Source organism: Homo sapiens, chromosome 1, assembly GCF_000001405.40.
Source record: "Homo sapiens chromosome 1, GRCh38.p14 Primary Assembly".
NCBI classification, from domain to species: Eukaryota; Metazoa; Chordata; class Mammalia; order Primates; family Hominidae; genus Homo; species Homo sapiens.
Genome location: NC_000001.11, coordinates 209,690,289 through 209,706,123, shown reverse-complemented (window position 1 = coordinate 209,706,123; position 15,835 = coordinate 209,690,289). Strand labels below are relative to the sequence as shown.

At 41.8% G+C, this 15,835-nt stretch overlaps 1 protein-coding gene and 1 long non-coding RNA gene across 5 annotated transcripts in view; one reads left to right on the top strand and one right to left on the bottom strand.

The window, feature by feature from the left end:
- Positions 1–15,835, top strand: part of HSD11B1-AS1 (HSD11B1 antisense RNA 1) — an 81,204-nt gene that overhangs the window by 36,439 nt on the left and 28,930 nt on the right. The gene's annotated exons all lie outside the window — the stretch shown is intronic.
- Positions 1–15,835, bottom strand: part of HSD11B1 (hydroxysteroid 11-beta dehydrogenase 1) — a 48,751-nt gene that overhangs the window by 28,806 nt on the left and 4,110 nt on the right. Inside the window, exons 2-3 of one of the 3 annotated variants that reach the window (NM_001206741.2) lie at positions 1,094–1,229; positions 183–313 (exon numbers count right to left, since the gene is read on the bottom strand). In NM_001206741.2, the coding sequence (NP_001193670.1) occupies positions 183–313; positions 1,094–1,181 (219 nt within the window). In that variant the 5' untranslated portion in view covers positions 1,182–1,229. Of the gene's footprint in view, positions 1–182; positions 314–1,093; positions 1,279–15,835 lie in introns of those variants that run through there. The other 2 variants (NM_181755.3, NM_005525.4) reach the window with 2 other exon arrangements.

The following is a 15,835-nucleotide window of genomic DNA, read 5'->3' as shown; positions in this document are numbered from 1 at the left end:
ATTCCTGTGGGTTTTTTGGTGTTTGAATCTATATATGAGAGTGCAAAATTAAGTGTCTGTGTGTGTGCATGTGCCTCTGTATATAGATCTGCGATATGCTAGCTTCTGTGTATATGTGAGCATATATAAGAACACATCTGAGCATGTGACGGTACACATATCTGCGAGCATAGAACCCTCACCTTCTGTAGAGTTTCTTTTGACCTCGCTGTCACCACCACATGGGCTCCCATCTTCGCCAGATGATAAGCCATCTCTCTTCCGATCCCTTTGCTGGCCCCTGTGACAATCACTTTCTTTCCTTGGAGCATCTCTGGGGAACCCCAAAAGGAAGTGAGGACCATACCCAAGTTGGCAGCAAAATTCCTTCTCCCTCTCTGGATATAGGCATGCTTATCGCAATTTGTAACTTAAAGGTTATGAGCCCAGATCAGTTTGTCACAAACTCCGTAAATCACTGTGGGAACAGGCCAGGTCTTTCATAAACATGCTCTGAAGTGGGAGGTTTGGGCTGACAGCCTCCCTACTGTCATTTCTAAAAACCTCCATGGAAAGAGATCATAGGATGAAGCCAGAAAAGTCATGGTTCAGCTAAAATGCTGGAGTTCCAGACATTTCTGGACTCTTTCAATTTTGCTCAATTGAAAGTACATTTAACAAGGAATCAAAACACATGTGTTCATAGAAATTCCAGGGATTTTCCCTCACTTCTATGTAGTCATCATCTCCAGTTTTTTTTTTTTTTTTTTTTGCCTCCCACTTATCAGTCTCTTCATAGAGCCCAATTAGCTGCTGAGTTGTGAATTTGGGTATTACTCTCATTTTTGTAGAAGATTTGAAACTGCTTTCCATTAAGGGTGCCAAATAAAGCATGGCCTATTTGGCTAGATTTTGGCTACACGATTACCCTTCCTACACAGTCCCCCCTGTCCACAGCCTGTAGCTGGAGGACACAAAAATACCATCTTAACTCAGGGTTCCCTCATTTTCACCAACTTTGAGGATCAAGAACACATCTTGGTCCTCAGGAACACTCAAGCACCCCTGTGTTTTTTAAACCTATTCCTCCAAAATGAGACGCATGGGTACTTACCTGGTCTGAATTCCTCGTTTGCAGAATAGTAGTAGTAGGCCATGAAGAGCCCCAGAATGGGGAGGAGATATTTTTTCATAAAAGCCATCCGACAGGGAGCTGGCCTGAAGACTCCTGTAGGACACACAGAGAGAACCTACAGAGCTTTCTACAACCTCCTAAGCAGGCAGCAGCCTCTGAATTGTGACATCAGGGACGGGGGAGGCTGGAGTAGTCTCAGGCAGTGCTAGCCAATTTCCCTGTCAGAGCAGCGATTGGCTTTGGGTGGGATCCCATTCGTCCCTGGCAGCCTGTGTGGTGGATTTCATAATGGACAATGTTTACTCCATTTCATTGAGCAAGAGGAGACTTCCAGATGGCCAAGCTCATGACTGTACAGGACTGGATTCCTGAGCATCCCTACCCGAGTCCATCTTACTCTTAACACCATTTACGCCAGGGATCAATGATCTTTCAAAAGTAATTTGTCAAAGACAGAGAGAGAGGAGTGCATGTAGGGCTTCTGGGGGGAAATGTGAGTAATAGCAAAGAGAGCCAAACTCAAGCCAAATCTCACTCTCAGTCCCCCTACCCCCCCACCCAGTGGGAAGCAATTAAAAATAACAGCACAAAACAGCAAAATAAGCTTAAGAAAAAAAATGTGCACATTTTGGGAAAAAATAATGAAAGCAAAGAAGCTCTATAAGCCCCACACTCAAGTTCAATGAAAAAGTATTACAACATCAAAGGAGAAATTGCAAGCCAGCCAGAACCCAGATGGCGGGAAATCCAAGACTGGTTCAAGACTCTAAGGCAAGTGCAATGGATCATACACTTATTATTTTAACAGAGAACAAAGAAGAAATAATGAGTGACAAAAAAGGCACTAAACTATTAAACTGGGTCTTGTAAATGCTGTAGAGCAACAAGAAACATGGAGAAGATGCTAGGAAGAGGCGACCTGATGTAGAAGAAAAAAGAACTAGCATTAGGCAAGTGAAACTAGCTGGGGACGCCCACACCAGCTAAAAATAGATCTAGTAACAGTAAAAGGACGAGGGTGGTAAGAAACCCTTAGCAATTTAGAATTTATTATCAGGGAAATATAAAAATAACCACCTCAGTATGTCCGTAGCACGAATTCATTAAGGAATAATCCTCAAAGAAAGAATTTAAGATGTATCATTGTTAAGTTTTTCAACTCAAAACCAACCAATCAACTCATGGAAATTACCCCATCACAATGCAGTCCTGCATTCTGTAAGTTATCAGTAGAGCGGGGAAAAAATTTAAATGTGATAATAAGTATCAGTGCTTTGGAGGAGGGATAGGAGTTGGGAGTAGTGGGGGGACAGAATTTACACAAGGTTAAGGGAAATTAAGTTATGATTCCAAGTGCAGTATCTGGAAACATTCATCAAATTTTCACTTTAGAGTAAGAGAAAATAATTTAAGACCCAGAGGAGATGAAACAATTTGTCAACAAAGGCCCACAGCTGTGAGGGTCACTTGTAGAAAACAATGGAGATTTGAGAACAGTTGAGGGCTAGACAGAGCTCGAGGTCTATGAAGGACAAAAAGAGAAAAAAGATAAAATTCAAGTAAAAATTAGATTACATGCCTTTAGAACTGCAAGCTACATTTGTATAATTTTATAAATATATTTATGATACCAGGATATATTACAGACTACACTCCATTTTCATCCCTAGAGGGAAGGCAGTGCCAGCCAGAACCCAGATAAGGTTTATTTTCTTAATCCTATACTATTAATAGTAAAATTATAGGAAACAATGAAAAGTTATTTGGAAATATGATGATGTTGAAATGATAGAAAGATGGGCAGACTAGGGATGTTTATTGTCTGACATAAAAAATAAATAAAGAATTTTAAAGTCCATTAAGAAAACATAAATTTAAAGAAAGCAAAAATAACAATGAGTAAGATAAACTGCAGAGTAATAGAACACAAAGCAAATGCATTAACAATTGCTGATTGTTGGCTCCATTAAAAAATGAAGTCCAACATTGTGTGGCCTCAAAAGACACATTTAAACCCAAAGACACAAACAGATTAATAATTAGATGACCTAATAGCTACGATGCTAGAAAATAAGGATATGGCAAAAGCATCCAATAAAGTGAGTTTCATGGGATTAGATAAAATAATTGCTATATAAAATGCATTGATGAGAAACAAGGACACTGTGTAATGGTAGTTGATGCATTAAATCTTACCAGTTCTCAAATTTTTGGTCTCAGGACCCTTGTATACTCTTAATAATTTCCAAGGACCTCAAAGAACTTTTGCCTGTGTAGGTTTTACCTATTGATATTGCTATTGCAATTTATGCATTAGAAATTAAGACTGAGGATTTTTTTCTAAAGCTCAAGAATACATAAGCATACATTCCATTAGCATTCAGGGCAGTGGCATTAGCATACATCCTGTAGCCTCTGGAAAAGTCAGGTAATGTCTTAGTATAATTATGAAAATAGTTTTGACCTTTCAACCCTTCAAGAGGGTCTCAGAGACCCATGGGGACCACACTTTGACCATATTATATAATAAACATCTAATCCACTTTGTGTCCATATTTACATGGCTGGTTCTCTCATTAGCTTGTAAACTCCTGGAGGACATAGATTATGTCTTTTTCATCTTTGTCTCTTTCCATTTCCCACTAGCCTTGCTCCAAAATAGGCATTCAATAAACTTGCTGTTTTAGTGTTTTTGAGATACTGCAGCAATGAGAAAATTGCTGTCTTCCTGGAGCCTGGTTTAATCTGGGGAAATCACTGGGATTCAGCATTCTGGTCAGAACAGATCAATCCCATCCCCCAAATCTTCTTTCTGGGGTTGTCAACAAAGTTTTAAAAAATAATAAAGACAAAATGAAATACAACTGTTTCAGCTAGCATTTGTTTCAAGTCAAGTATTCCCTGATTGAATTAAAGTTCCATAGAAAAACAGTGAACAGTTCACTCCACTCCTTGCACCCTCCTTTGTAATACACTGACCATTCCCATTCCAGAGCAGGCTTTCAGCAGATACCTGGAGCCTACCTGCACAGAATGGGCTTTTCACTGCTGGAGGTGAGTATTAGAGCCCAGCCAGGAATTCTCTCTGATTTGATCATTCTCACCAGAATAAATGGAATCAAGCACAAGCAACAGAGTGAGAAGAACATAGGGGCTGAATGAACAAGAATGGGACTGTGAAGGATGGGCCAGATCTGGGGAGACTGATAGGAGATGGCAAAAATGTGAGGAGGGGCAGCCAGAGGGGAAGTTCCTTGCATTTGGCATAAAACGTTGATCATGAAAGAAACACCTGTCATTTAGAAGGTGGCAGCTGTAGTGCTTTTCATGACTATTTAGTAGATTTGTTAAGCAAGTGCTCCCATTTGAAAATGAAATCTTGTTGGGCAAACCTCAGAGTAAAAAGTAGGTAAACACTGTGTTCAGAGGTTCTGCCTTTCCTGGGAGAATAACACTGCAACGTTGAAACAGGAGAGGATCTTTGCATTACATGAGAATTGATAGGGTCTGGCTGTGTCCCCACCCAAATCTCAACTTGAATTATATCTCCCACAATTTCCACATGTTGTGAGAGGGACCCAGGGGGAGGTAATTGAATCATGGAGGCTGGTCTTTCCTGTGCTATTCTCTTGATAGTGAATAAGTCTCACGAGATCTGATGGGTTTATCAGGGGTTTCCACTTTTGCTTCTTCCTCATTTTTCTCTTGCTACTGCCATGTAAGAAGTGCCTTTCACCTCCCGCCATGATTCTGAGGCCTCCCCAGCCATGTGGAACTGTAAGTCCAATTAAACCTCTCTTTGATCCTGGTTTCGGGTATGTCTTTATCAGCAGTGTTAAAATGAACTAATACGGTAAATTGGTACGAGTAGAGTGGGCTGTTGCTGAAAAGATACCTGAAAATGTGGAAGTGACTTTGGAACTGGGTAACAGGCAGAGGTTGGAACAGTTTGGAGGGCTCAGAAGAAGACAGGAAAATGTGGGAAAGTTTAGAACCTCCTAGAGGCTTGTTGAATAGCTTTGACAAAAATGCTGATAGTGATATGAACAATAAGGTCCAGACTGAGGTAATCTCAGATAGAGATGAGGAACTTGTTGGGAACTGGAGCAGAGGTAACTGTTGTTATGTGTTAGCAAAGAGACTGTTGGCATTTGCCCCTGCCCTAGAGATTTGTGGAACTTTGAACTTGAGAGAGGTTTTTTAGGGTATCTGGCAGAAGAAATTTCTAAGCAGCAAAGCATTCAAGAGGTGACTTGGGTTCTGTTAAAAGCATTCCATGTTAAAAGGGAAAACTAGCATAAAAGTTCAGAAAATTTGCAGCCTGATGATGTAAAAAAGAAAAACACATTTTTTGAGGAGAAATTCAAGCCAGCTGCTGAAATTTGCATACGTAGCAAGGAGCCAAATGTTAATCCCCAAAACCATGAGGAAAATGTCTCCAGGCCATGTCAGAGACCTTCATGGCAGCCCCTCCCATCACAGGCCTGGAGCCTAGGAGGAAAAAGTGGTTTCATGGGTGGGCCCAGGGTCCCTGTGCTATGCGCAGGCTAGGGACTTGGTGCCCTGTGTCCCAGCTGAAAGGAGCCTGAAAGGAGCTAGCCTAGAGCTCAGGCTTTAGCTTCAGAGGGTGGAAGCCCCAAGCCTTGGAAGCTTCCGCGTGGTGTTGAGCCTTCCACATGGTGCACAGAAATCAAGAATTGAAGTTTGGGAACCTCTGCCTAGATTTCAGAAGATGTATGGAAATGCCTGGATGCCCAAGCAAAAGTTTTCTGCAGGGCAGGGCCCTCATGGAGAACCTCTGCTAGGGCAGTGTGGAAGGGAAATGTCGGGTTGGAGACCCAACACAGAGTCCCTACTGGGGCACTGCCTAGTGGAGCTGTGAGAGGAAGGCCAATGTCCTCCAGACCCCAGAATGGTAGATCCACTGGCAGTTTGTGCCATCTGCTTGGAAAGCCGCAGACACTCAATACCAGCCCATGAAAGCAGCCAGGATGGAGGCTGTACCCTGCAAAGCCACAGGGGCAGATCTGCCCAAGACCATGGGAACCCACCTTTTGCATCAGTGTAACCTGGATTCAAAGGAGATCATTTTGGAGCTTTAAAGTTTGACTGCCCCTTTGGATTTTAGACTTGCATGGGCCCTGTAACCCCTTTGTTTTGGCCAATTTCTCCCATTTGGAATGGCTGTATTTACCCAATACCTGTACCCCTATTGTATCTAAGAAGTAACTAGCTTGCTTTTGATTTTACAGGCTGATAGGCGGAAGGGACTTGCCTTGTCTCCGATGAGACTTTTAGACTGTGGACTTTTGGGTTAATGCTGAAATGAGTTAAAACTTTGGGGGACTGTTGGGAAGGCATGATTGGTTTTGAAATGTGAGGACATGAGATTTGGAGGGGCCAGGGGTGGAATGATATGGTTTGACTGTGTCCTTACCCAAATCTCAGCTTGAATTGTGTCTCCCAGAATTCCCACGTGTTGGGGGAGGTACCTGGGGGAGGTAATTGAATCATGGGGGCCAGTCTTTCCCCTGCTACTCTCTTGATCTGATGGGTTTATCAGGGGTTTCTGCTTTTGCTTCTTTCTCATTTTACTCTTACTGCTGCCATGTAAGAAGTGCCTTGTGGCTACCACCATGATTCTGAGGCCTCCCCAGCCAAGTGGAACTGTAATCCAGCTAAACCTCTTTTGTTCCCAGTTTCAGGTATGTCTTTATCAGCAGTGTGAAAATGAACTAATACAATAACGCATAAGATTCTCCCTTTCTTGCCACCCCCACCCCCATTCTCACCCCAGTTCCTCAGAACTCACAGCTGCCAAGATCTTTTCCTGTCTATAGAAAGAACTATCATTTCATGCAATTTTGTCCAGTAACAGACTCCCTCCTCCTTCCCTTCCTCCTGTTCTCCTCCCTCATGTGTGTGTCTAACGAGGGGAGAAGTTCTCATTTGTCAATCCTTCATGTCAATCTCAATGGACAGATTTATTCTATTTTTTAGCTAACGGAATCGTGGATCTGGGAGAATGAAGTAGGCATGGGATAAATTGCCCTCTGTGTGCTTTCCTGTTACTGCCTGGCACGTGTAGCTTGTGGTAGGGGACTGAGAGGGTAGAATACCTGGAATCTATTTGCCTGGGAGAGCCAAGGGCCTTCTAGGAAAGAAGAGACCCTCACGAGGTCACGAGCATGGTCTGATCCCTGCCCCCAGTGGAGATGGAGATGCAAAGAGTTCTTTTTATAATCAAAAAAATTCTGTTGTTTTTATGTTTTAAGGGCATGATCTAAGTAGACAGTTCTAAGCATGTTGTAGTTGTAGTTTTTCAGGTTTTCTCTCTTGCCTAGCTCCTGTGGATTCACATCTGAGCATAGAAGAGAGAGGGGGCCATGTAAGAACTAAACAAAGTTATTCAATGGAAGGTCTGTTGAAACATTGGCAGCATGGGGAGCAGTGGGAGAGCCCCACACAGCTGAGAGGACTGACCTCAGCATGACCACCACAGGGCTTTGGCCCATCTTGTGTTTTTTCTTGGTTGGCCAGCCCAACTTTCAGGAAGCACGCTAGGGTGACACCACAGCCCCAGCCAGGTGGGCATCTCAAGGTTCCAGGGATGTCAGCATTAGAAGGAAGTCACTTGCCCCTGGTGGGACATAGGGTTGCCAGATTTAGCAAATAGAAATACAGAATGCCCAGTTAAATCTGAATTTCAGATAAATGACAAATACAGTTAAATCTGAATTTCAGATAAATGACAAATAGTTATTTTAAGGATGCCTGTCTGTCTGTCCTTCCTATCTATCTATCTATCTATCTATCTATCTATCTATCTATCTATCTATCTAATCTATCTATCTTATCTACCTATCCTCTATCTAAGCTGTCTACCTATCAAGATGGGATAAACTGTTGAAAGAAATATTCCTAAACTATTGAAGGAAAGATGTCTTGAAAGGAACATACTTACACTAAAACATGATTCAAGCCAGGTTTGGTGGCTCTTGGCTGTAATCCCAGCCACTGGGGAGGCCAAAGAGAGGATCACTTGTGGCTAGGAGTTTGAGATCAGCTTGGGAAACATAGCAAGACCCTCATCTCAAAAAAAAAAAAAAAAAAAAAAAAAAAAAAGGAAAAAACAAAACCATTAATCATTCATTGTTTATCTGAAATTTGGATTTAACTGGGTGAACTGTGTTTAATTTGAAAAGCTTAGAAGTGGCAGTGGGCTTTAAGAACCTGAGAAATGGTCTCAGGTGTGGACAAAACATTCTGGACCATGCCTACTGATAGCCATCTGGTCTACCTTTACCAAAGTGGAGCCCAGCATCCTGGCCACAAACAGCCCAAAAAGGCAAAAGAGGTACATACCACATGGTAGCTGGGTGGAGGAATCATCTACTAACATTTATTTAGTTAGGTATTTACTGTTGGTCAGGTACTATGAATAAAAACACCATTGAAATGCTCTCCATGCCCTAGAAGAAGAAGACGTGGAAATAAATGAAATGTGTAAGACATTACCAGTGCGCTAATGGAAGTCTACAGTAGGGGCATAATGAAGGGAGTAGCCCATTCTACATGTGGGACGGGCCAGCAGGAGCTGCTTCCAGGAAGTTGTTCATTTTGATCCATGTTGAAATATGAGCAGGAATGTTCCAGGAAATGAAGAATGATAACAGTGAGCATTGAGTTGGGTTCAGGAGTGTGTGGGGAGAGGGGAGGGCTAGTTTGTAGAACATTCTTTGCACAGGAAGCTGTGTGGGAAAATAGAAAGAGGTGTGAAAGAGAAAGTCATGTTTGGGAAACTATGAACAGTTCCATGTGGCTGGATAACTGAATTTTACAAGGTGGGGTTACACAGTAAGAAGCCTGGAGAGGCAAGCAGAGGCACATCTTTGAGGGCCATGAATGCCCACTGTTGGAGTCTGTAGTTCTGGCCATTTGTTCTCAAGTCATGAAGGCTTTGCCCTCTGTGGCTTCTTCATCCCCATCCCAGAACTCTATCCCCTGGCTCTTTGTATCCCCTCATTGCCTTATGCAAAAAATTCTGAATCTTCTGCACTCTTTCAGCTCTTCAATCCAGCTTCACACCCTCCATCAGCACTTCACTCTTCCTGCCAGGCTGTGCTGGGTATGGCCTTGACCCTGAGGGCTTGCAGCCCCTGGAGCTATGCCCAGCAATGTTATTGGGCTGCCCTATAACCAGCTGGATTTTTCTACCATGCTTTTTTTCTCTTTGATCCTTCTCATTAAGTATCACTTGCCACTTTAACCTCCCCAAATATCCTCCTCCCTTGGCTTCTGTCAATTCATAGTCACCAGGCTTTTCTTTCTGTTTCTCTCACTGCTTCTCAGTTTTCTTTATAGGCTTATCTTTTCTTCTGGATTCCTTGAATGTTGGAGTTGGCCTTGATTCGGTTCTCATTTTTTGTCTGTATTCCCTGCGTAATTCCCTTCTCTCTCATGGTTATAATTACAACCTTTGTGTTGATGGATGAGTCTTAAAAGTCTCTATTTCCTGTGCAGCAATTTCTCCTAAGCTTCAGGTAGTATAACCACCTGCTTACCCAAACCCTCTCCTTCTGAGGGCCTCCTAAACATCTCAAATTCATCATGCTGAAACTGACATGATTATTTTTTAACGGCTTTATTGCAGTGCAATTTATATACTAGCAAATTATCTCATTTTAAGTGTACAATTCAATGATTTTGAATAAATTTGCAGAGTTGAGAAATCATTACTGCAATCTAATTTAGAACATTTCCATCTCCCAAAAAGATTTCTTGTGCCCATTTACAGTCACTCCCTGTTTCCACCCCCAGCCCCAGGCAACCAGTAATTTTATTTCCATGTATAGACTTGCCTGCCCTGGACATTTTATATTAGTAGAACTACACAACGTGTAATCTTTTGTCTGACTTCTTTCACTTAACATGTTTTTGAGATTCTTCCGTATTGTAACATGTGTCATTTATTGACAAATCATATTCCATTGTATGGATGTACCACATTTTGTTGATCCATTCACCAGTTCACAGACATTTGGAATTTTCCCCTGTTTTTTGCTATTATGGACAGTGCTGCAATGAACATTGGTATGAAAATTTTTGTGTGAACGTATGTTTTTATTTCTCTTGGGTACATGCCCAAGAGTGGCATTGCTGGGTCATATGGTAAATTTATGTTTAACTTTTTTTTATTTTTTTGAGACGGAGTCTCACTCTGTGGCCAGGCTGGAGTGCAGTGGCATGATCTTGGCTCACCACAACCTCCACCTCCCAGGTTCAAGCGATTCTCCTGCCTCAGCCTCCTGAGTAGCTGGGACTACAGGGTGCACCACCACACCCAGCTAATTTTTGTATTTTTATTAGAGACAGGGTTTCACTATGTTGGCCAGGATGGTTCGATCTCTTGACCTCATGATCTGCCTGCCTCAGCCTCCTGAAGTGCTGGGATTACAGGTGTGAGCCACCGCACCCAGCCATGTTTAACTTTTTAAGAAACTGCCAAACTGTTCTCCAATGACTGTTATTTTTACTCACCATTTCCCATTGATCTCTATTTCAATCAATGGCTTCACCATCCGTCTAATTAGTAATCCAGAAACTTAGGAGTTCTTTATTCCTCCCTCTCCATATTCCATTAATCACCAAGTACAGTCGATTCTACCTCCTAAGTATCTCTAGAACCATCTCCAAATCTTCACCCTTTGTGACCATCTGTGTTAGTCCACTTTCACACTGCTATGAAGATATACCTGAGACTGGGTAATTTATATAAAAAAAGAAGTTTAATTGACTCATAGTTCTGCATGGCCAGGGAGGCTTCAGGAAACTTACAATCATGGTGGAAGGCTAAGGGGAAGCAAGGCACATCTTACATGGTGGCAGGAGAGAGACAGAGCAAAGGGGGGAACAGCCAAACACTTTTAAACCATCACATCTCATGAGAACTCACTCACTATCATGAGAACAGATGAGATTATGGGGGAACCCCCATAATCCAGTCACCTCCCACCAGGTCCTTCCCTCCTCAACACCTGGGGATTACAATTTGAGATGAGATTTGGATGGGGACACAGAGCCAGGCCATATCCTAACTCAGGCCACCACTGTTTTCTGCTTTAGTGACCTCCTCACATTTCTCTGGCCACCTCACCTTCCCCAATCTATTAATTTTTAAAACAAGCTTGTGAAATATTTGGTATTCACAAAAGAATATAGGAAAACATGAATAACGTATAAAGCATAAGTATGAAACAAAAGCCTCATGGCTCACCATCCAACTTAAGACATGAATATCCCAGCACTGTGAAGTTCCCCTTGGGCTCTAATCCATCCAGTTCTTCACACCACAACTGATCAGCACATTTCTCTGCTTCAGAAGATTCAGTGGCTCCTTATTGTCTTTAGGATAAAGTCCAAACTACCTATTACAGCTTTACAAGTTCTTCATTATTTTTGAAATTCTTCCCCAGGAACCTCCCCTTGCCCCAATTCCTTATCATTCAGGTACTGCTCTTCAAAGTCACACCTTCAGGGAATGCTGGGGACCAGAAAAAGTGCTCTCTGAACCCTAGGCATTTCTCTAATCATTGCACTCATCACTTTTTACTCCTAGCCATTCACTGTCTGCCTTTCCCATTAGATAGTTCTGGGAAGGCAGAGACCATTTCCACCTTGCTTGCCCCTGCATCTCCAGAGTTAGTACGGTGCTTGGCACAGGGTAGGTGCTCAGTAAGCATTTTTTGAGTGTGTAATGGATGAACTGATTCTTATACATCCAGATACAGATGTCTGGTAGGTATTTGGAACTCAGAAGAAAGGTCCAGGTTAAAGATATAGAATTGGGAGAATTAAATCATGGAAGTTAATGTTGCAACCATAGGAGTAGATGAAGCCACCAGGGACAGAGTGAAGGCTAAGAGGGAAATCTTACACTCATGTTTGAGGGTTGGGCGGAAGGGGAGGGCCAGCAAAGGAGAACAACGGTGAGCTGGGAGCAGGAGGACAGAGAGCACAGAACCCAAGGGAACAGGTCTCAGTGAGATGGGAGAGGTCAAGGAAGGTGAGAAGTGCCAAGAATACAGGGGGTCTGGCATAAAGGAATCATTGGAGATCTTTGCCTGAGAGTTCCAGAGGAGCTAAAGTGGAAATGCTGTGAGTTGAAGAGTGAAGTACCTGAGGGAATGCAATGTTTACTGGTCCACAATTTTGAGGCACTTGAGAAGCATGGAGATCTGAAAGAGGGTTTTGATTTGGGGGATAGAAATGAGTTAAACTTTCATTCAAATGCTCAAATGCATTGAGCATTTGTGCCAGACAGTGTGCTGGGCTGAGCATCCTTTCTGTTTGTGGGAAAGATCCAGTAGAATCTAAAAACAAGATCACTGGAAGGATATGATTTATGGAGTCATACTCCAGATGATATGGCACATGGCTCTGGAAAAGGAGACCACTTCTTTTGAGAATCGAGGAAGTAGAGGACGGGTGGATATTGAATCCTTGCCTTCTGCTTCCAAATTCAGTGAGCTTTTTAGTCTAACTTGTTTCCTTCTTTGCATTTTTTGGAAAGCAGCTACATGCAGCTTCCCCATCTATTCATATCTCCTGGGGGAGGGCCAGGAAGAAGAAGGTGGGAACTTAAATTCTCAAATGTCTCCTCTTCCTCAGTATTGACCACAGCATATACCTTTCATTTTCATTTCTGCCTTGTCCTGCTCCCTCCTAATCTTTATATATTCACAAATTTAAGGCAAGAAAGTTTTCCCAGGCTTCACTTTGTATTTTATATCTGATGGGAGGATTCATGAAATTTGAGGGTTTGGCAACAGTCTCAAAAAACTGACCTAATAGGGAACTGAACGAGAATTTCTAGATTTAGGATGCTAAGAATTTTAACATGCTTCTGCCAGCAGAGGGAGCCCCAGGAGTGGGAGAGACAGCTCGGATGGCTACTTAATTTCTGGCAATGCCGTCAGCAGTCCAGAGGGATTTATGGGTTAACTGAAAATAAAAGAGAATGAAGGAGGGAGGGAGAGAGACTTAAATATACAGAAATAGTTACACACACATAAAATACATGTAAACTGATTCCCTTGCTCCTCCTAACACACACTCCTGATTTCCACTCTAGTCCAGTGATTCCCAAACCTCCATGAATCATCTGGGGGAACTAAGGGCAGATCCTTAGACCCCACCAAATCCTGTTGAGTCTGGCTTATTAAGGGTGGGACCTAGGAATCTGGATTTTTTGCAAAGTTCCTGACAAAGATTTTTCTGGCCAAACTTTAGTCAGGCTCCTGAACCTTCTAGGCCCATCTGGGCACTTCCTTGTAAAATCCAGTTTTACAAAGAATCCTGCTAAGTCAATTTAGCAAGAACCGAGCCCCCACCCCCCCCCCCGCCATTTTAATACCCGATTCCTTGATCTCTAATTGGTTTTTTCATTTGCCATCATCCCCCAGGGGGTGCCTGACCACCCTGGCCTGTCTTCAGAAATAATCCTGTTTCCTTTCAGCCAGAACCCTCCTTACCCCAACCTTGATGTTTCCTCTTAGAAATTTTCCATCCACCAGTCACCATCCTGCTCTTTGAGTGTAAATTATCACTCACTTCCCATGGTGTATTTGGAATTGAGTCCAGTTCTTTACTGAGATCTCTTTTCCTCCATTGCAATAGTCCCGATTAAAACCTGTTTTTACCACTTTAACTGCTCTCTAGCTCTGGTTTTCTTTGACAGTCCCCAGGTGATTCTAAAGTAACCTGTAGACATACCGGTCCGAACTTCTACTTTGGGTAATTAGGTAAATACTTTTAACTTTAGCTTGTTAGAGACTTAATGGCTCCAGACATCAACATGCTGACTGGTTGGTAGAATGTATTCCCTGGGAGACTGCTGTGTTATAACTGAGCCATTTCCTTTTTTTTTTTTTTTAAATAAACTAGTTTTTACATTTATTAATATAATACATGAGGAGGGCTTAAAAAGTCACCTAGTACAAAAGGTTTACAACTAGTGACAACAATCCTTGCTCTTTCCTTTCTCAGCCCTGGTCCCACTGACAGGCAAATCGCTTTTAAATCTTAATTTATTTTCCCCTGAAAACCAACTCCACATTTGTAAACGATGTGCTTTTACTGCTATTTGATTTTGCAATTTTGGAAATTACTTATTCATTTCCTGCTAAGGAATACTGGGATTTTGCGTTTTTACAACACACAAACACCCATTCCCTTTTTTCTAGATTCCTAATATTATAATAACACAATTTTAATTAAATCAATAGTGTTTGTATTATTATGATTAATTGTTTACAGCTGAACAATATAGTATACTATGATGCATTTCTTTTCTTCTAGTCTTCATTGAATTCCTGGGAGTTAATAATCACTTCATTTTGATTTGTTTGCTTTCTTAGTTGTACAGGTCCTTCAAACCCTCTGACAAGAGATATAAAATTCAAATAAATAGGTCAAATTAATTGAGTAATCTATGAGCTCCTTTATTTTTTTCTTGGAGACATTTTACTGAAGACTTTAGTCCTCCTGTTCCCTGAATCTGGGGACTTTCCTTTGGGAATGGGAACTCCCGTTTTTCTCTTTCTTGATTTACTTCCTCATGTATGATAAGGAAATGTTTTGAGACCTTGTATGCAGGAGTGATGTTTCACATTTTTAACATCTTTAAGAGGGCATTAATCCATCTGACCCCGGCCAAATAAAGGACAGTGTGACAGTTCTGGTCAGCCCCATCCGCTTGTCCTTGTATTACCTTCTCCTTGATTGTTTTTTGGCCGGGTAAGGATTTCTAGGTAAGTTTTCTCTGAGAATTGGAAGATGTTGCTGTCTTGCCTTTCAGTTTCTAGCTTCCAGTGTTGACACTGAGAGGTCCAACTGCTGTTCAGATTTCTGACCCTTGGTTTGTGAACTATTTTTCTTTCTCCAGGACTTTTGGGGTCCTTTTATTCCTGGGGTTCTAACATTTCCAATAATATTCTTTGATGAGTTTTGTTTTTGTGGTTCATTGTGTTGGGCACCCACTGGGTCCACTGAATATGGAAATTCAAATCTTGTATTTTGGTAAATTTTAGAGAAATTTTTTTGAGTATTTTATTCTCTTTCATTTGCTCTGTGCTTTCTTTTTGGACTTCTTAATAGAAGATATTAGAGCTCCTGAGCTGATCTTTTAAGTTTCTTATCTTTCTATGTCTTATTTTTTTAATCTCTTTCCATTTCATCCTATTTTCTGGGAGATTTCCTCAATTTTATCTTCCAATGCTTAAGTTTAATTTTAATTAATTAATTAATTTTTTGAGACAGAATTCCACTCTTGTCGCTCAGGCTGGAGTGCAATGGCGCGATCTTGGCTCCCTGCAACCTCTGCCTTCCGGGTTCAAGCGGTTCTCCTGCCTCAGCCTCCTGAGTAGATGGGATTACAGGTATGCACCACCATGCTCGGCTAATTTTTGTATTTTTAGTAGAGATGGGGTTTCACTATGTTGGCCAGGTTGGTCTTGAACTCCTGACCTCAGGTGATCCGCTCACCTTGGCCTCCCAAATTGCTGGGATTACAGGCATGAGCCACCGCTCCTGGCCCTTCATTTTAATTTTTAAATGTCCAATTGCGCTTTCATTTAAAGAGCTCTTTTTTCTTCTCCATACTTAAAAATTGGTTCTTTATTTTATCTTATTATTATTATTTTTTGAGACAGGGTCTCACTC